General features: G+C 37.7%; 1 protein-coding gene across 10 annotated transcripts in view, besides 1 other annotated feature; it reads right to left on the bottom strand.

Annotated features, from left to right (window-relative positions):
- FXR1 (FMR1 autosomal homolog 1) overlaps positions 1 to 20,958 on the bottom strand; it is a 70,084-nt gene that overhangs the window by 21,468 nt on the left and 27,658 nt on the right. For all 10 annotated transcript variants that reach the window (NM_001013439.3, NM_001441509.1, NM_001441513.1 and 7 more), the window contains 7 exons: positions 13,350 to 13,421; positions 12,791 to 12,939; positions 12,472 to 12,565; positions 11,943 to 12,059; positions 9,818 to 9,988; positions 7,446 to 7,524; positions 3,358 to 3,467 (listed from right to left, as the gene is read on the bottom strand). In NM_001013439.3, coding sequence (NP_001013457.1) covers positions 3,358 to 3,467; positions 7,446 to 7,524; positions 9,818 to 9,988; positions 11,943 to 12,059; positions 12,472 to 12,565; positions 12,791 to 12,939; positions 13,350 to 13,364 — 735 coding nt within the window. In that variant the 5' untranslated portion in view covers positions 13,365 to 13,421. The remainder of the gene's footprint in view (positions 1 to 3,357; positions 3,468 to 7,445; positions 7,525 to 9,817; positions 9,989 to 11,942; positions 12,060 to 12,471; positions 12,566 to 12,790; positions 12,940 to 13,349; positions 13,422 to 20,958) is intronic.
- Positions 13,300 to 13,349: a silencer, noted in NCBI's record as "silent region_14928". NCBI's record gives its function as "represses an Ori minimal core promoter by ATAC-STARR-seq in GM12878 lymphoblastoid cells {active_cell/tissue: GM12878}" and the evidence as "EXISTENCE:reporter gene assay evidence [ECO:0000049][PMID:35858748]".

The following is a 20,958-nucleotide window of genomic DNA, read 5'->3' as shown; positions in this document are numbered from 1 at the left end:
TCACTGCAGCATCAAACTCCTGGGCTCAAGTGATTCTCCTGTCTCAGCCTCCAGAGTAGCTGGGACTATAGATGCGTGTCACCACAACCAGCTATTACTTTTTATTTTTTGTAGAGACAGGGTCTTGCTCTGTTGCCCAACTCCTTGCCTCAAGCAATCCTCCTGCCTTGGCTTCCCAAAGCGCTGGGATTATTGACTTCGTAAAGAGGTTACAGGCGTGAGCCACTGTACCCAGCCCCAATATATAATTAGGAAAACTCTTCTGAAACACGCAGCAATTTACATGTACTAAACTTCAAGATTTAAGGAGAAAAAAATGCTAAAATCCATGTAAGTTGAAATACTCAGATTTTCAATAACTTGTCATATTTGCACCCCAATTTACTGTTGTAAATTGTCTTCTGTGTGCTAAACACTTTAAAAATAATTTTAAAAAATCAGTTTATATCAAGTTTTCTGATTTATAATTAATTTAATTTTCCAAGTATATAAATCAACTTTTAAAGTTAAAATGATTTTCTGGCAGGTCATGGTGACTCACACCTGTAATCCTAGCACTTTGGGAGGCTGAGGCAGGTGGATCACTTGAGTTCATGAGTTCGAGACCAGCCTGGGCAGCATGGAGAAAGCCCATCTCTACAAAATATACAAAAATTAGCTGGCAGGGTAGCACATGCCTGTAGTCCCAGCTACTTGGGAGGCTGAGGTAGGAAGATAGCTTGAGCCTGGGAGGCAGAGATTGCAGTGAGCCAAGACTGTGCCACTGCCCTCCAGCCTGGACAAGAGAGCAAGAATCTGTCTCCAGAAACAAAAAACAACGATTTTCCTTCAAACTGTCTATAAACTTACAGACTAGATAGATACATCACCTTAGTAGGTATAGCTTTAAAGCATAATAAAGCACATTAACCCAGTTATCCCTACAGTATGTGCTCAGGTAACAAAATCTTGAGTGTCTGTGTACTACAAGAGGTACTTCCTGACCACTAAAAGAAATATCACCTCCAGAGCATAAATATTTACACAATGTAAAATTAAAGGAATTATTAAGATACGTAGAGGTATTCAAGTAAATCAAAGTATTAGGCCAGACTTGGTTTACTTTGCTGAACTTCTGAATAAGAAGATTTTTAAAAAGTGGCAGAAAAGAGAAATAAGATGGCACACTGTGAATTTTTCTTCTTTAAAGAAACATACTTCCAGCTTCTTAATGGCTGAGAAAAATGAGAGTAAAGCTTAACTCCCCCAATCAGTTTCCATGTCTCCCATTTTCTTCATTTTACAGAATGGTTTCTAACAGTTAAACAGAATGGTTTAGGGATTTTTTTGTTCTAAATATGAAACTAAGCGTGGTTTAAGACATTTTAGTTCTATATATGACTCAATTATTTTCAAAGTAATTTTTAAGAGTAATGATTTTTAGATATGGTTCATTTAAAACTTAGGCAACAGGGCAAGTGCTAGGGATATAGCACAGCTATTACAGAGGTTCACAGTGGCTTTGAAGAAGTCATTTCAACTATGAAAGCATGAAACAAGGGAAACTCCTTATTTAAGATTAGGGAGTGAAGAAGTCTTAACACTGTCCTCAGGAGTTCACAAGCAGATAAAAGGGCATTCAAAGTGAATAAAAAGGGGGGTGGGAGGGCAAGAACCTAAAAAAATCTTAAGCACATAGCCTGTTTTCAGGTCTGGATTATTCATTTCATGTATTTGATTTAATACTCATTTAAAAATTGACTAAGAAATAGTATTACCAGTTTTACAGTTAACAAAGTAACTTGCTGAAGTCATAAAATTAGCAACCGAGCCAGCCAATTTCATCTAGTTACCTAATTCCAAATAACATCTATTTGTTAACTGCCAGAATCTTCTGCTAATGTATAAGAATAGTTTCTGTTCTAAGGATAATCAAAATCTCAGGAAAAAAAAAAACACTAAACATTCTCATAAAAAACTCATTGTACAGCATTAATGATATGACCAAAAAACAGGAATTTTAAGGAGACAAAACATCATCAACATGTGGGAAGAAACACGACAAAAAATTTTAGAAAGCTAGGATCAGAATTAACGAATTAACAGCAACGTAATGGGATTTCAATTAAGAAATGGTCAATACTTTCAGATTCTATAGCAACGTAAAAGCGTTAAGGGGATTTCAATTAAGAAATGGTCAAGGCCGGGCACGGTGGCTCACGCCCGTAATCCCAGCACTTTGGGAGGTGGAGGCAGGTGGATCACAAGGTCAAGAGATCGAGACCATCCTGGCCAACATGGTGAAACCCCATCTCTACTAAAAATGCAAAAATTAGCTGGGCGTGATGGCGCACACCTGTAGTCCCAGCTACTCAGGAAGCTGAGGCAGGAGACTCGCTTGAATGAGGGAGGCAGAGGTTGCAGTGAGCCGAGATCATGCCACTGCACTCCACCCTGGTGACAGAGTAAGACTCTGTCTCCAGGAAAAAAAAAAAAAAAAAAGTCAATACTTTCAGATTCTATAGCAATGTAAAAGTGTAAGGGGATTTCAATTAAGAAATGGTCAATACTTTCAGATTCTATAAAATAGTTAAGGAGAGTACAATCAAGAATTCCTTTGTCAGCACAGTTCACAATGGCAAAGATATGGAACCAACCTCAGTGCCCATCAACCAATGGGTGGATACAAAAAAAATGTGGTATATATATACCATGGAATATTACTCAGCCATAAAAAGGAACAAAATAATGTCTTTTGCAGCAACTTGGATGGAGGCCATTATTCTAAATGAAGTAATTCAGGAATGGAAAACCAAATATCATATGTTCTCACTTGTAAGTGGGAGCTTAGCTATGAAGACGCAAAGGCAAAAGAATGCTATAATGGACTTTGGAGACTCAGTGTGGAGGAAGGTTGGGAGGGGGGTGAGAGATAAAAGACTACATATTGGATACAGTGTACAGTGCTCAGGTGACAGGTGCACTAAAATCTCAGAAATCACCACTGAAGCAGCTTAACCATGTAACCAAAAACCACCTATACCCCAAAAACTATTGAAAAAAAAAATTCCTTTTGGAGTATCAAGTTCTACAGCTTTACACTCTACGTATGAAAAATAACTGTTAAGATTATCAAATAGAAATCTTTATGTCAAGAACTGGCTTTTTTTACTGAAGTACTATCAAAACAACTAAGAACAAGGCCCACATAGTAGAAAATGACTTGTTTTCTAAGTGTATGAAATAATATTATAAAAACATAATTTTAAAAAGAAGAAAAACCCTCTGTATCAGATAAAACAGACAAAATGTTTACAACTATTAAGTTGGCCAAAAAAAGGACATTTTAAAGAGGCAGATTACATTTTAAATACTTACGTCTTCTCTGGGTAATTTATTTTCATTGTCCCCTTCAATTCTCACTCGAACCACACCAGATTTGTCCACTATTTCTTGAATAACTTTGCCATTTTTTCCAATTACTTTTCCTTTAGTAAGAGAAAACAAATACAATGGTAAGCTAAAACTCAATTCTGCTATTCTTTCAGTGTCAGCCCCAATTATTTGTAACTTGCTACTAAATTACAACCATCAAGTGAAGCTCCCATCTTTTTACTATCAATTAACTCGCCCTACAGACTACCAAGAAATTTCACCCTTGGTCTGAAACTTACTTCTCTTTCAGCACGCCTAAGGTTACTAACTGGGACTGACAACAGTGCTCACATGTAAGGAATTCTCAAAATCTAGACTTTTAAAATATGCTTATATCATTTTCATATTTTTAAAATATCCAACCCATTTCAAAACCTTGGATGTATACATAAAGGCAAAGAGAAAAACTATTTTGACATTAATCATTAGCACTTTATTAATTCACATAAGTAGCAAATTCATCAATCTTGCTTTTATTTTCAAGTTTCTATGGGTCCAAGAGATTTCTATGACTTGAAGATAACTTTAGAATGAATATTTACATGTATTATATTTTACACCAAGAAGTTTTTCAAGTACTCCACAGCTATATAAAAAATGACATAAAGCATGTACATGATATGCTGTCTTGCTAGGTATAAAATATTGTAAAATTACATAAAATTCAAGTATTTAACTTTCTACACTTAACTTGTAAGTCTGTCAAACAGCAGTTATTGAGTATATTAATAAATAAAGGGGTCAAAAGGCTCTCTTTCCCTAAAGGACTATCTAAAGATTAGCACATACTCACATAAATAACAAAGCAACACTGAGTTGTGTACCTATTAACAAGTACTATTAAGTAACCTTCACCATATGGAACCGATGTATCCCTTAGACAGTGAACAGCGACAGCATATTTGTTATCAAGTCCACATCCTCAGTTAATTTAAGTATATCACTTTTCACAAAAACTTAAACCTTGGTTGAAAGAGTTAAAATGGAAGATTTTCCTGTTGCATGCCTGAACAGTTTCTATTAAAGAATGAATAAGAACGACAACAGTAGACTGGTCAGTACAATAAAAGGACTATAATGGGTTTTTCTCTCTTGTATTCCTACTCTCAAGCCTCCTTCCCCATTAATAAGCCTAAATTTAAAAGCAGCAGCAATTGAACATGTTAAAAAAAAAAAAAGTAGGGCAGGGAATTCACATGACGTGTATCTTCTCTGAGCAGCCCTAGCAGCAGCACATAAAAGCAACCTTCATTGTTAACACAGTGAAGCTCAAGCAGCAACTCCATCCTTGACCCTGCTAAAAGTAAGCAAATGTCTTTCGAAAAACAAAGATTAGGTTGACATACCATATTCCTCCCCCAGAACCTTTGCCACTTCCTTCTTGTGAACTATACCAGTTTTGAGTGATCATCCATCACCCTTCTGGGGTCCTTGGCAGGAACCTACCTGCAAGTTTTATTTAGTCCCACCACAGACCGTCAATATTTTAAATGATCATTTCCATAGTTTAAATTCCAGACCATATTGACAAACTGAAGTAGACCTGTAGTATAAATTGAGCACTGAATATAAATGCTGAAGGGACAGAGAGAAGTGATTAAGGAAGGCTTCTGGAGGTGAAAGGTTTTGAACCATTTTCAAATCAACGTTCAGATATTTTTCCCTTTGATTTGGGAGGGGTGGGAATGGTCATCTTAGAACTCTCAGAACCCGAATGTGTAAGGAAATCCTCTCTGGAACTTACCCAAGTGTTCTCATTCCCTTTTAATCCTCAGTTCTCTTTTTCTTTCATTTGGACTAAGAATGTACTATTATTCAAAAGCCTGCTTCATCCATAAAACATTATGGAGGGAAACACTGTATTTTTACACATGACAACCAATAGAAATTCTTGTACTACTCCTGAGTATTTCACCAGTGTGTAATAGTCACTGCTAATGTGTATTTCCTATAGAGCACACAACCCACATCACCAAAGCCAACGTAGACAGGATACAGGAAAAGAGACAACAGGTACTCACTTCAGTGAATAAAGAGAACAAAGAACTACAAATATACCCAATTTTCTTATTTTTGAAATATCAGAAACTTTTACTCACAACACCTACCACAACTCTCTAAGACCAAGGCTATCTTTTATAATTGACAGACTTGGATTGAAAAGAAACCTGGTTCCCTTTCACAAACCCACTGCCAAATCATTTTTACAAGTGAGGAAACCTTAGTTAAGTCAAAATTACATCTGTAGAGCAGCTACCACAATGTTAGTACTGACAGATGTCAATAATTAACGATTTCTTTAAAAAGGCAGCATTTTCAAAAGCAGCTTATCAAAGGTGATTTCATTTGATACTGATAAACATTTGATAACATTGTGCACCCTACCTATATTTTGTATAATTATAATTATACAAAATTCTTCAAGTTTATATTGAATTTTAACATCTCATCTTTCTAGCAGTTCAGTCTACAGTGAACAACGGTATACCAAGAACTAATAAAGTAGAGCTTACACAATTGGCAGTAATGTCATACCTATCCAAATGTTTGAGGAGAATTGAAAGGCTTTTTACATCCGGGCGCGGTGGATCACGCCTGTAATCCCAGCACTTTGGGAGGCCGAGGTGGGCGGATCACAAGATCAGGAGCAGGAGTTCAAGACCAGCCTGGCCAATATGGTGAAACCACATCTCTACTAAAAATACAAAAATTAGCCAGGCGTGGTGGCAGGCGCCTGTAGTCCCAGCTACTTGGGAGGCTGAGGCAGTAGAATCGCTTGAACCCAGGAGGCAGAGGTTGCAGTGAGCCGAGATTGCATCGCTGCAACTGCACTCCAGCCTGAGTGACAAAGCAAGACTCCATCTCCAAAAAAAAAAAAAAAAAATTTATTTTTACATAAATACTAACAGTTAAATTCCAAGAAACAAATTCCTGTGTTTTAAACTACTTTTCCTGAATATACTACTTACTAATGACCAAAAAAAAAAAAAAAAAAAAAATCTTTTTAGAATGGAAGTATTTATTTTTCTATTAACGTTTGTTTTATACAATTTAACAAATAGAATGTCCGTAGCTAAACATCATTTCCTAAAGGCAGAACAGGCCGCATTATATAAATGGAACCCAAGAAGCTGAAAGTATTTCCCTAGCGTCAAAAAAAAATAATGAGAGATAACAGGGAACAAAAACTCGTCCCCCTCCTAGTAAAACTACACTACATTATCTTGATGCTTCTTTTTATATTAAATGTTTAGGTAAGTCAATTTTTAGTATAGTCACTGCATACTTAACACATAACCAAAGCCTTCCCAATTGCCTCAAATAGCAAAAAGACAGCACAGATGTAGTGCATATTAATAACAGAGCTATAAATTAACTCATTCCAAGCTATAATGCTCATTTAACCATAGCTTCAAATGCAAATTCTTGTCACTTAACTATAATCCATGGGTACAACAGTTTCAATAATGGTGTCAAATAATAAACAGTGAAACCTCCCCTCATATTATCATCCTTCTCTCCTGCCCACAACTTCTTATTATTCTATGCCTTGCAACAACCTACTATTCAGGACCTACTGTGTAGAAGTTTATTACCCTATTGTTAGTTCACTGTTATTTTTCTTCTGCACTAAACAAAACAAATATCACCAATACCTTCTCAAAAAGTACTATCATAATTTTGATGAATATATATCAGTGATAAAAAGAGAGTAAAGGAGTGAGAATAATAGGGAAGATCCCAAGGGATGAAAAGACTGATGAAAAACTGTAATGACAAACTTATAAAAACCCTGGGCCTTATTAGTGAGTCATCCTGTACAGAAGAAACATCTTTACTTTTTAACATATGACAATAACAAGTTACACAAAATGTTATCACCAAAAAAAGAAAAGAAGTATTGCTATCTAAATAAATCTACACATAACTGGAATAAGGTTATCAGACTACAAGACTAGTTTTCAATTAAGTCGCTATATGTAACTAAATAATGTTTATTAACTTATTTAACATTTAGTAAAAGTACCTACCAACGAGATTCCTAGGAACCTGAATAAAATCCTCCACAAATTCCAAGAAACCTCTAGCCTTTTTTACAGCATCAGCACTCTGTAGATGAGGGGAAAAGTAAAAATGAAATCCTGTTTCAATCTCGGAGCAACCCATAATCCAAAACAAGAAGATGAGAAAAGAGAAAATTCTGAATGATTATGTTCTACTAAAAGATTATGCTCATTCCACTGGGGAGAGATTTCAGGTGAAGTGATTCACAAAGTACTTAAAAAAAAATCATTTTTAAAAACCCCAAATCAGTCAGTACTATTAAAACCAAAAATAAAATAACATCTCTAAAATCTTTAAGCTGCTGAGAAATTTAGTGTCAGAGTTTAAATTACACAGCTGCTGAACAGCCAAAACTTTAACCCAATCCTAAATATACTAGTCTATACCTCCTGCTTGAAATTCTCATGTTAAATGTTAACAATACAAATTGTTAAAATTGTCTGATTTATTTATTCTCAAAATCAGGTATATGACTTAAAAAGCTATTTTTGCAGAGATGCATTTTTTAAAAGTACCTACTGGTAAGATTATCAAAATTCATAATTTCTAATGAGTACAATTTTAAACAACTAGAGGGTTGGGAGTGAGTCTCTACACAGACTTTCTACTTCTCAATAAAGTCACTTTCACTTTTAACGTGTGTTCTTTAATAACCACAGATAAGGCCAGATGCAGTGGGCTCACGCCTGTAATCCCTGCACTTTGGGAGGCCAATATAGGAGGATCGTTTAAGGCCAAGAGTTTGAGACCAGCCTGGGCAACATAGGAAACCTCCATCTCTACAAAATATACAGATATATATTTAAATTAGCCCAGCATGGCAGCACATGCCTGTAGTCCTAGCTATTCAAGAGGCTGAGGCCAGAGGATGGCTTGAGCCCAGGGGTTGGAGGCTGCAGTGAGCTATGATCACGCCACTGCACTCCAGCCTGAGCAACAGAGTAGACCCTGTCTCTTTAAAAAAAAAAAAAAAAAAAAGCAAATAAAATTTTTTTTAAATTTTAAAACCATAGCTCAAATTATTGTGTGCACACTACATGATATACCATATGCAATCAACATTTTTTACAATGCATCTAATCCTTAAGAACTGTATTAAGGTAAGCACTATTATTATTTTATAATGAGAACACTTATACAAGTAACAAACTCCAAGCCTACTCAAAGCAGCCTACTTAAAGTGAATTCCAATCCAGGCAGTATAGCTCCAAAGCTCGTCTTTTTTTTTTTTCCCTCCTCCTTCTCAACAAGACAGGACCTTGCTCTCTGTTGCTCAGGCTAGAGGACAATGGCATGATCATAGCTCACTGCAGCCTCTCATTCCTGGACTCAAGTGATCTTCCTGCTTCAGCATCCAAACTTGCTGGGGTTACAGACGTGAGCCACCGTGTCTGTCTGTCTTCTTAATTACTATGTTATACTGTCTACTTTTAAAGGTTTTGAAATTAAAAGTGAAGCTTCTAGTCAGCTTTACTATGTGAAAGCAGCTGTTCATAAGAGCTATGTATGAAAAGTCAAGACACAAAATTGTCATTCAAAAAAAACTCCAGGCCAGGCACGGTGGCTCACGCCTATAGTCCCGGCACTTTGGAAGGCTGAGGCAGGTGGATTGCTTGAGCTCAGGAGTTCGAGACAAGCCTGTGCAACATGGCAAAATCTTGTCTCTTTAAAAAATAAAAATCCAGTTACTCTAATTTGAAGGATGGTCTCAATTTACATATATAAAAATATAGATAAGATGCATGTGTATGTATATATAAAAATTTATATATACTTTTCTAAACTCTATGTTGCCCTGGCTAGATTCAAACTCATAGGCTCAAGCAATCCTCCTGCCTCAGATTCCCAAGTAGCTGGGACTGCAGGTGTGTGCCACTGCACCTGGCTGAATAACATTTTAAAAATAACTTACTAATTTTCTACCCCTGCAAACGTCATGATTAACCAGTGACGAAGTATTATACAAACTCAAGTTCTAGAAAAGCTATTCTAATATATGCCATTTACTCCTGCCAGTGCCTGGCACACAGTAAACATTCAAAAAAATACTTCGATAGATTATTTGTTAACGGGTATAAAACTGAAGTAAACTCAGAAGCGGTTAAGAAACCTCAATAAAAAAACTACATATTTAATTACTTAGTAAATCTTTCACTCCCCTCAATACAAAGTTAACTTCAATTCAGCTTCATAAGTAAGACTACTAGGCTGACTGATGCTAATTGAATAAATTCTACCTCAAAAATGTTTCATGGGAAACTGGAATTTCAGATAAAAATATAATCAAACAATAGATGGTTAATACACTAAAGGCCAAGGCAGGAGAAAGAGAACTTACCTCTCCGTAGATTCTGAATGTTCCAGTATCTTCATCTAGCTCAATGGCGGTAACTCCAGGAACCTTCCTAGCTTGCTGGATGTTACTACCATGTGTTCCTATTGCCAGGCCCATTAAATCTTCTCTCACAACAAATTCCTCATGAAAAGCTGCTGCAAGTTGTTTTGTGCACTAATAAAAAAGGAAAATTAGTAATATAAAAGATCAAAATACAAAATGGCTTTTTTGTATGGTTTGGTTTTTTTCCAGACAGGGTCTCACTCTGTCACCAAGGCTAGGGTGCAGTGGCGTGATCATGGCTCACTGCCAACTCAATCTCCTGGGCTCAAGCAATCGTCCCACTTCAGCCTCCTGAATAGTTGGAAATACAGGCACGCACCACTGAGCCCAGCTAATTTTTTTTTTTTAATTTATTTTTTGTAGAGACGAGCTCTCACTATGTTACCCAGGCTGGTCTCGAACTTTTGGGCTAAAGCAATCCTCCCACTTCAGCCTCCCAAAGTGCTGGGATTATAGGCATGAGCTACCACACGCGGCCACAAAATGTTTTATTGCAAATCCATGTTCATAGCATTATTTACGACAGTAAAGAGGTGAAAGCAACCCAAATCCACAGACCAATTAATGAATGAACATAATGTGGTATATACATTCTGCCTTAAAAAGGAAATTCTGACACATGCTACATAGATGAACCTTGATGCTAAGTAAAATATGCCAGTCACAAAAAAGACTAAAATGATTTTACTTACATGAGGTATCTAAAATAGTCAAATTTATAGCAACAGAAAATAGAATGATGGTTGTCAGGGGCTGTGGAAAGGGGAAAATGAGCAGCTGTCTAAAGGGTATAGATTTGCAGTTTTACAAGATGAGATGTACTGAAGATTGATCAATAATGTAAACATACTTAATACTAAGTGTACACTTAAAAATGGTTAAGATGCTAAGTTTCATATGTACTTTACCACAGTATAAAGAAAAACCCAAGAAGAAAAAACCACCGAAAACCCACATAAATTTTTTTAAAAAGGCCAAAACTCAAGTTTCTTAAGAAACAAAGGAAACTCATCTAATGTCATAAAATGAATGGGGAAAAGAAACTGTTTTATTCATCTATTTTATTAGTCTAAAACACTTTTCCAGATACAGGCAGATTTGTTCACATATCCCTTGTTCAGAATTTTTAAATTAATGAGAACATTTCCAAATTTGTCCTAAGGATAATAAACATATCTTAATTTCTCTGAGACATCACAGTGTGTGCATGCACATGTGTTCATCTAGATCTAGAAAGTGTGAGTGAGTGGGAAGAACAAGTATCCTACTAGTGTAGCAGGGAAGAACAGGACAAAACAGAGTACCTTAGGATAAGACAGAGATATAATGATAAGCTTAATATTTTAATACTACATGCCACATGATGCCTCACTCCTAGTCCTCCTCTCCTCTCACACAAGAGTTGTTACAGTGAACTAGTTACTGATGAAAGATATCATGACTGACAGATGACAAGGCAGTTAAAAAAATAAAAAGGTTAAATACAAAGTAAAGAACTAGCAATACAGTCTACTGAGTATCCCTAGTTTCTTAGCTCTTTGGCACCTGTCATCTAAGTCCTACCAACAAGTCAACAGGCATTTCGCAAAGGAAAGGCTATGTTTGATAAAAGGTAAAATGGAAAAGCAATTGTTCTACGGACACAACTCCAAACAGTCACGAAACAGAGGTCCTGGGCTGCCTTCGTTTGAAGCAAGGAACTTGAAAAATATAAAACTAAATGGGGGCCAGGTTCGGTGGCTCATGCCTGTAATCCCAGCACTTTGAGAGGCTGAGGCGGGCAATCACTTGAGCCCAGGAGCTCGAGACCAGCCTGGCCAACATGGCAAAACCCCACCTCTACTAAAATACAAAAATTAGCTGGGCTTGGTGGGGCACACCTGCAATCCCAGCTACACGGAGGCTGAGGCAGGAGAACCGCTTGAATCCGGGAGGTGGAGGTTGCAGTAAGCCAAGATTGTGCCACTGCACTCTAGCCTGGGCAACAGAGCCAGAATCTGTCTCCAAAAAACAAACAAAAACTAAATGGGACACAGAAAACTCTTTTGTAAGTAAACCCACTTACTTCTAAATGCTTAGTGGCCTCTTCATTTCTGGACATAAGCATCAACTTCGTACGAATACTTCGCAAATGCATGTCACTTAAGATGTTTACTCTCTTCACAGTTGCTTCACTGGCAGACTATAAACAAACAAGCTAATTACTCAAAACTTTAATCATTCTTCCAAATAGCACAAACACCATCCCATCTTCTATGCAAAGCCTTCCTTGCTTCTCATCTACTACACTTCTTTCACCTAACACTCACTACTCTGAGTAATCACACTTTCCTTTCTGAATTCCTGTATTATTTAGATCTGCTATTCAGAATATGTTTGATTGGGGAAAAATCCGGAATCTCACACATTAAGAATTTTATGATGTTAAGAATGTAATTAACATTTTATAGCTGCAAACAAATTTTTCTCCCACACTATATTAATAAATTCACTATACACTAAGTTGATCTTAGCTTTTCTCTTCTGAAATATGTAATTATAAAATCTGTGCAATATCCATTAATAAGCTACCTTATAATATGGTACTATCTTACCAGTATCATTAGCTGTGTTGTTTCTGGATGGTAAAAAATTCTGCATGCTCCTACTGCTTTCTTAAAATCTTTATGTGCATTTTCATTAGCACACCTAGAGAGAAATCAATTTATGTGTAAGAACTCAATAACAGATTAAAGTCAGAGGAGAGTCACAATACAAAGTCAGTGTTTCATTTTGACAAGCCCCACTAAAACCTTTGTTCATTAAGATGATTTTCCATCAGAAGGTTTGATTGGGCATTAGGGAAAATGTTTTGTAGGACTGAAAAATCTTCTTAATTCACAGAACAATTCAATAGTATATAAAATTACTCACGCCTCTCTCAAATCCTCAGGAACATCCACTGTGCATTTAAAGAAGGTATTTTTTTTGACAGTTTTATTTTGATTGACAGGCCGAAGTCGTTCAAATGTGACTATTTCATTGTAAGTAGCGTCACAAGCAGCATATTCAATGACATAAAACTAAAAGACATCAAAATACTTTAAAAATCCCATCTGAACAAAAATAATGAAGTTTAAATGAAGTTCTAATTACCTTGCTCAGCTTAACCAACGGACCCTCCCCCATGTGGCATAAAATACTAAGCACAGCTTAGCTACATCAATCTGATTTGCCTAAACTAGATTATAGGTTCTTACAAGCATGAACCTTGGCGGTCCTTACATGCTTGAGGTGTACCTCTGGAGAGCAGCTTTGGTGTTTGCCAATACAGAACACAAACAGAAATTAATGCTAATGGAAATGTCTGATCAACTATTTCTCAGGTAGGCTTTTAGAAATAAAACTAACAGTTGAAATAAGATTTACAAAAACCAAGCACTGAGGTACTTCCTTAGAAACTAGTCACAAAGCAAGTGTGAAGAGTACTTACTTCTCCTTTCATCATCCGAACTTTAGCCAACCACCACCCACATGGCTCTTGGTCATTTGCTCTTGAATATACCTGAGAAGAAAAAAAAATGCCTATATCCATTCATCCCAAAAGATTTCAATGCTGTAAATGACTTTTTATTAATACCCAATCCCAATAAACTTAAGAATGAAAAATGCTATTTTATTTAAATTGGCATATTAAATGCAATTTAAAGAAAGTGATATGTAACTTAAATTTACTACTTAAAAATAAAACTACTTTTTTGGGCAATTTAGCTTCTTAGAAATTAATTCCATATTCATGAGGTTTACTAAACATAAGTATTATTTTAAAGAAATGCTCTTACAAAGGAGTTTTAAATAATGTAAAACACAGGTCTTCCTGTTTCTGTCAACATTGTTAATATTAAAAATTGTTCTCAGAAAGTGATTAACGTAATTTTTAAATTCCATCGAGGATATGACATTTAGATCCCGTGCTAAAGAACCTAAATCAAATGTACTAAAATTGTTTAACTGAACAAAAAAATTACACACATTCAGTCCATCTAGCAGAATACATTAAGTATCTTACAAAATTCCTATCCAGGCCGGACGCAGTGGCTCACACCTGTAATCCCAGCACTTTGGGAGGCCAAGGTGGGTGGATAACCTGAGGTCAGGAGTTCGAGACAAGGCTGACCAACACGGTAAACCCTGTCTCTACTAAAATATAAAAATTAGCCGGGCATGGTGGCAGGTGCCTGTAATCTCATCTACTCGGAGGGCTGAGGCAGGAGAATCATGTCCAGAGGGTGGAGGATGCAGTGAGCAGAGATCACACCATTGCACTCCAGCCTAGGCACCTAGAGCAAAACTCCATCTCAAAAAAAACAAAATAAAAACTATCCACAAAAAAACAAGTCATATTCTTTATATCTATAAATATCAGTTTTATTAACGTAATAGGTCACAGAAGCTTTCACTTGGGATTAGAGTTATTTCTTATGACACAGCAGAGCTTCTTTAACGTATTATATTTTCAGTATAGAGAAAGGTAGAAAAGGGGGGCTGAGAAGAAACTAAAAACCAATAAAAACCAAGATTGACTGTCCTTGCAGAGATCATCAGGGAAACCTATCAGTGGCTGTTAACAGCCATCTGGGAGATAAACACAAACAACTAAAAACAAAGACTTTTAGAAAGCCTGAAGCTTCTATCAGGATGATTTGAGAGTAATCTTGGAAGTGGTAGGAATACTGGAACTGGAAATGAATAAACCAAAACCTACTAATGAACTTTATCGTATACCATGATTAGAAAAAAGCTATGAGAAAAAGCAGGAAGTCCAATATACCAATCAGGGTCCGTTAAACTCAATTTTAGCTTTTCCATTTCTTTTATAAACAGATCTAACTATTCAAAGGGATCAATATCTCATGACTTATATTCTTCCTTACGACATATTCCAAAAAACAAGAAAGTTTACTTCTCTAAGACTAGAACAGAACTCACCCTTATTCTGTAATTATTATATGTATCCACTGGGCCCTTTTATAAATGTAAGGTAGAATCTAGTGATCTTATTTTTCCTATATCTTGAAACACTTTACAATTTCATCAACATTCATCAGTTATTCTCAGCTATGCTTTAAATAAAGACTAAAATGGAACAGAGGAATGATGGCATCACCTAGAGGATACAACAGTGAAATAAACTGTTAATGTTCATACAGTTTCCTTACTGCATAGCCTGAGGTATCACATCTCTTTCAAAACAGTTCAAAAAGACCAAAGACACCATCCTTGTAGTCTGCTTTTAGCTACCGTTGACCAGTTGATAATTATGAATTTTTTTCACTCATAATTGCGAAGAGAAGAAAAATTTACAGAGGAAGGCCTTTCTAATTATTAGAGATATCAGACAACAGATGCAAAGAGTACTGATAAATGTGAAATTATCTTACAAAGCAAAACCTCAGACTATGAAGTCTGAGATGGTGACATCTTAGATGAATGTTCTCAATGTATTTCTCAAACGATGTATTTCTCAAACGATGTATTTCTCAAACATTGTTCTCAAACAATGTATTTCTAAGGAGAAGAGGGAAAGATGATGTGTATTCTCATCCAGTTAATGACTCAACTGAGACTCCATCATGCAAAATCCTCCAACAAGAACCCAGATCATCCTGGTTTGCTAAAAGGGTATATGACAGTATTCTTCCATCTTTTAAGATGTTTGTGGTCAGGCACGGTGGCTTACACCTATAATCCCAAAACTTTGGGGAGCCAAAGCAGGTCGACTGCTTGAGAGCTCAGGAGTTCAAGACCACCCTGGACAACATGATGAAACCCCATCTCTATCAAAAATACAAAAGAAATTAGCCAGGTGTCGTAGCGTGCACCTGTGGTGCCACCTACATGGAAGGCTAGGGTGGAAGGATTGCTGGAGCCTGGGAAGTTGAGACTGCAGTGAGCCAAGATTGTACCACTACACTCAACCCTGGGTGACAGAACGAGACCCTGTCCAGGGGGAAAAAAAAGGTAAAATAAAAATTGAAGATAAAATTTTAAGAAATGTTTGTGTGCCAAAATGTACTTCGTAAGTGGAAATGTCAAAAGCAGATGTGTATACAAAGGTAACTCGAAAAAGAAAGATAATGAAATGCAAAAATATTCAATAGATTAGTCAATCCAACTGACTAAATGTGCTAAAATTACAGCACAGAGATGGCTATCCCTTCTTCAATAGAATGAGATGTCATTAAAAGTTCCAAAGTATTCAAGGACTGCATTCTGATGATCCAACTGTAAGAATAACCAGAATAAGCTAGAATTTATTAGAGATATATTTTAAATCTGCTATCAATATTTATAAGATTGGTATGTTCTAGGTTCATGTATAACAGTGAGCAGTTAGTTACATTTAGAGAACTGCATTCATTGTAGATACATATATCATCAAAACCTGGAAAATATGAAAAAGTTAGATTTGCTATGTTTAAACCCTCACTAAAATGTCTAATAAGGCCATGCGTGGTGGGGCTCACGCCCGTAATCCGAGTACTCTGGGAGGCTGAGGTGGGCAGATCACTTTGGCTCCAGAGTTCGAGACCAGCCTGGACAACATGGTGAAACACCATCACTATGCAAAATACAAAAGTTAGCCAGGCATGGTGGCATGTGCCTGTAATCTCAGCTACTTGGGGGCCTGGGGTAGGGTGGAAGGATCTCTTGAGCCCAGGAAGTCAAGGCTGCAGTGAGTTGTGTTTGCTTCACTATACTCCAGCATGGAGTCAATAATGGCCTTTAAAAAAGTCTAATAATGGGGGGCACAGTGGCTCATGCCTGTAATCCCAGCACTTTTGGAGGCTGAGGCAGGAGGACTGCTTGAGCCCAGGAGTTTGAGACCAACCTGGACAACACAGGAAGATTTCGTCTCTATAAAAAAAATTTTTTTTTAATTAGCCAGGTGTGGTTGGTGCATGCCTCTAGTCCCAGCTACTTGGGAGGCTGAGGAAGGAGGATCACTTGAGACTGGGAGGTCAAGGCTGCAGTGAGCCATGATCATGCCACTATACTCTAAACTGGGTGACAGAGCGAGACCCTGTCTCAAAAAAAAAAAAGGTCCAATAACGACCTTACTACCCTTTCATTCTTTCTGCTACAAAATTATTTGGTAAACGATCAGTGATGACTGTTTTCCCAAGTATACTGAGGGTTACAAAAAGAATATTCTAGGCCGGGCGCGGTGGCTCACGCCTGTAATCCCAGCACTTTGGGAGGCCGAGGTGGGTGGATCACCTGAGGTCAGGAGTTCGAGACCAGCCTCAACATGGAGAAACCCTGTCTCTACTAAAAATACAAAATTAGCCAGGCGTGGTGGTGCATGCCTGTAATCCCAGCTACTCGGGAGGCTGAGGTAGGAGAATTGCTTGAACCTGGGAGGCGGAGGCTGCGGTGAGCTGAGATCGCGCCATTGCCCTCCAGCCTAGGCAACAAGAGCGAAACTGCATCTCAAAAAAAAAAAGAATATCCTAACAACCAAAAGAAGGTGCCCATTCGAGTAACTATCTCAGAGAGGCAGTTCGAATATCTCTTGTTAATGTGGGTAAATCAAGCCTCATTTGCTGAAAATGTTATGTCTTAAAACTACCTAACCCCCTTATTCTATTTTCACCAAAGCATAATCATTCATGAATCTGGCTTTCTAAATAAACCATCTCAACTGCCTGGAGGCTTTTCTCACTGAACGATGAAATGCTGAACTCCATTTTAAACTTAATATCCACTTCTGTAAGCTTCATAACTTCACCCCTGAAAGACCAAGTTACTCTCATAAAGTGACTAAACCTAAATTCCTAAGCCTGAATCAAAAACACTACAAATTTGGCTGCACAGCCCACACCTGTAATCCCAGCACTCTGGGAGGCTGAGGCGGGTGGATCACCTGAGGTCAGGAGTTTGAGACCAACCTGGCCAACATGGCAAAACCCCGTCTCTACTAAAAGTACAAAAATTAGCTGGGCATGGTGGTGGGCGGGCGCCCGTAATCCCAGCTACTTGGGAGGTTGAGGCAGGAGAATCGCCTGAACCTGGGAGGTGAGCCAAGATCGCACCACTGCCCTCCAGCCTGGATGACAGAGCAAGACTCCTTCTTAAAAAAAAAAAAAAAAAAAAAAAAAAAGCCGGGCACAGTGGCTCACACCTGTAATCTCAGCACTTCGGGATGCCAAGGCGGGTGGATCACCTGAGGTCAGGAGTTTGAGACCAGCCTGACCAATATGGTGAAACCCCGTCTCTACTAAAAATACGAAAATTAGCCGGGCATGGTGGCGAGTGCCTGTAATCCCAGCTACTCAGGAGGCTGAGGCAGGAGAATCACTTTAACCTAGGAGGCAGAGGTTGCAGTGAGCCGAGATCACGCCACTGCACTCCAGCCTGGTCGACAAGCAAGACTCCATCTTAGGAAGAAGGAAAAAAGAAAACACCCCCACTTACAGTGCTATGGATCAAATCATATCCTATACAAAATGAAGAGTATATCTCACACAATAAAATATCACTTCAATAAGCCAGCATTAAAACTGTGCTCTAGTGTACTATATCCTAAATGTTAATTACTGAATTGATTTACGAATCTGTCATTGAATAACAGCGCCCCACAGAAATTCCTTTTCCTCAGATTTTACTTAACTCTGCAAACTATTTCGCAGGAACAATTCACACTCTCAAATGGCCCACACACTGCTCTAACATACTAAAATCCAGGAGACTGTGGAGTGACCATGATGAGAAGCCTAAAAACACAATAGCACTCATTTTAATCACTATCGTTTTATGGAGTACAGGATGAAATAAATAGGAAGAATCAAATTCCAAAAGCCTATTTCAGGATTCTTTCCACCAAATGATCCCAAGTCAAATTCTGTTTCAAAAAAAATCTCTAAACTCAAGCAAACAAATGTGAGTGATTTAAATGTAATTCCAATCTGGATCCTAAAGTCATCAATTTTTCATTCAAGTTCATAATGTTCAACCTATGCCTTTTTTTTTTTTTTTTTTTTTTTTTTTTGAGACGGAGTCTCGCTCTGTCGCCCAGGCTGGAGTGCAGTGGCGCAATCTCAGCTCACTGCGAGCTCCACCTCCGGGGTTCACGCCATTCTCCTGCCTCAGCCTCCCGAGTAGCTGGGACTACAGGCACCCGCTACCACACCTGGCTAATTTTTTGTATTTTTAGTAGAGATGGGGTTTCACCGTGTTAGCCAGGATGGTCTCAATCTCCTGACCTCATGATCTGCCCGCCTCGGCCTCCCAAAGTGCTGGGATTACAGGTGTGAGCCACTGCACCTGGCCCAACCTATGCCTTTCAAGTAGCCAAATTAAGAATAAGTATCAAAGACAGAGAATTTTTACCAGTCTTCAGTAAATTAACTATATTTCCATTTTTCCAAAGAAATTTTCCTATTATTTACTATTAAACTAAATAATCAATCATAAGGACCCATTTTCAACATGTGAAATACATTTATTGAGTACTGCTATTATGTATCTGCCATTTTGTATTATGACATTTTAAGAAGAAAATGCGCATTAGAAAAGTTTAACATCTGGAATGAACATGTATGATTTCTCTACCTAAATAATAGTATTATCTCATTCACCTTTAAGGCTGACACTTTAACAAATCAGTTTCCTACCAGCTTTCTTTACTATATCAAGTCCTAGAAACTGGCCACTCTGCAAGACAAAAACAAGTAACAAAGAATATGTTCGTCTCTCCTTTATGTGCGAGCGTTTCCCAAGCAGTAAGACTAACAATGGTCTTGGTATCTTGGTATGATGAGAAAAACTACATCTAAATACAGACAGCTAAAAACTTCAGACTGGCCAAAAGAATCAAACTTAAAACTTTTTAAAAAGTAGAGTAAATAATCCATGTATATCTTTTATATAAATAAAATACTGAATTAGACTAGGCATGGTAGCACACACCACTTTGGGAGGCTGAGGTGGGTGACTGCTTGAGCCCAGGAGTTCAAGACTCGCTTGGGCACCATGGCAAAACCTCATCTCTACAAAAAATACAAAAATTAGCCCAGCATGGTAGCACACGCCTATGATCCCAGCTACTCAAGAAGCTGAGACAGGGAAGATCCCTTGAGCCCGGGAGGTCAAGGCTGTAAGTGAGCCATGATGGCACCATTGTACTCCAGCCTGGGTGACAGAGTAAGACCCTGTCTCAAAAAAATAAAATTTGGAAAAAAAAAAAAATCTAAAAAGTTGTAAAAGAAAGGAGTGTCTTACCTCAGATAATTTTTATTCTCTTTTTTAATCCAATTTCTCTCAAGGCGCCTATCCCAACATTTTAATATAATATATAGATATATAACCATAATGCCTGACAATCCGCCATATGACTAGAAAAGGAAAGGCATATGCCACAAGAACAAAAACTTGCCAATTCCTATTTTAACTATGAATACTAAACCAGAAAACCTCACAGTTCAAAAACAGGTTTTTAAAATTTCAAATATGCTAAATGCAAGGAAGAAACCTTACAAAAAACATTATCAGGGCTGCGCGTGGTGGCTCAAGCCTGTAATCCTGGCACTTTGGGAGGCCGAGGCGGGTGGATCACCTGAGGTCAGGAGTTCGAGACCAGCCTGACCAATGTGGAGAAAACCCGTCTCTACCAAAAATACAAAATTAGCTGGGTGTGGTGGCACATGCCTGTAATCTCTGCTACTTGGGAGGCTGAGGCAGGAGAATCACTTGAACCCAGGAGGCGGAGGTTGCGCTGAGCCGAGATGGCGCCATTGCACTAGAGCCTGGACAAGACCGAAACTCCATCTCCAAAAAAAAAAGAAAACAGAAAAAAACAAAAACTAAACACGTTATCACCTTAGATGTCAGGCTTACTATGTAACGTGTCTATGTGTGTTGCTTATATATTACTTGCTGAGCAAGGCAGATATCTAAAATAAAAAGCAAAAATGTTACATGTGAAATGAGGGAGGAGGGATATTTCTACTGCCCTTCCAAGAGCCCAAAACACTGTACTAGATACCCAATGTAAACGAAATCTAAAGAACTCTTCATTTTCACATTACCTTCAAACTTTA

This window comes from Homo sapiens, chromosome 3 (genome assembly GCF_000001405.40).
Source record: "Homo sapiens chromosome 3, GRCh38.p14 Primary Assembly".
Lineage (NCBI taxonomy): Eukaryota > Metazoa > Chordata > Mammalia > Primates > Hominidae > Homo > Homo sapiens.
This window is presented reverse-complemented; position numbering and strand designations above follow the sequence as displayed.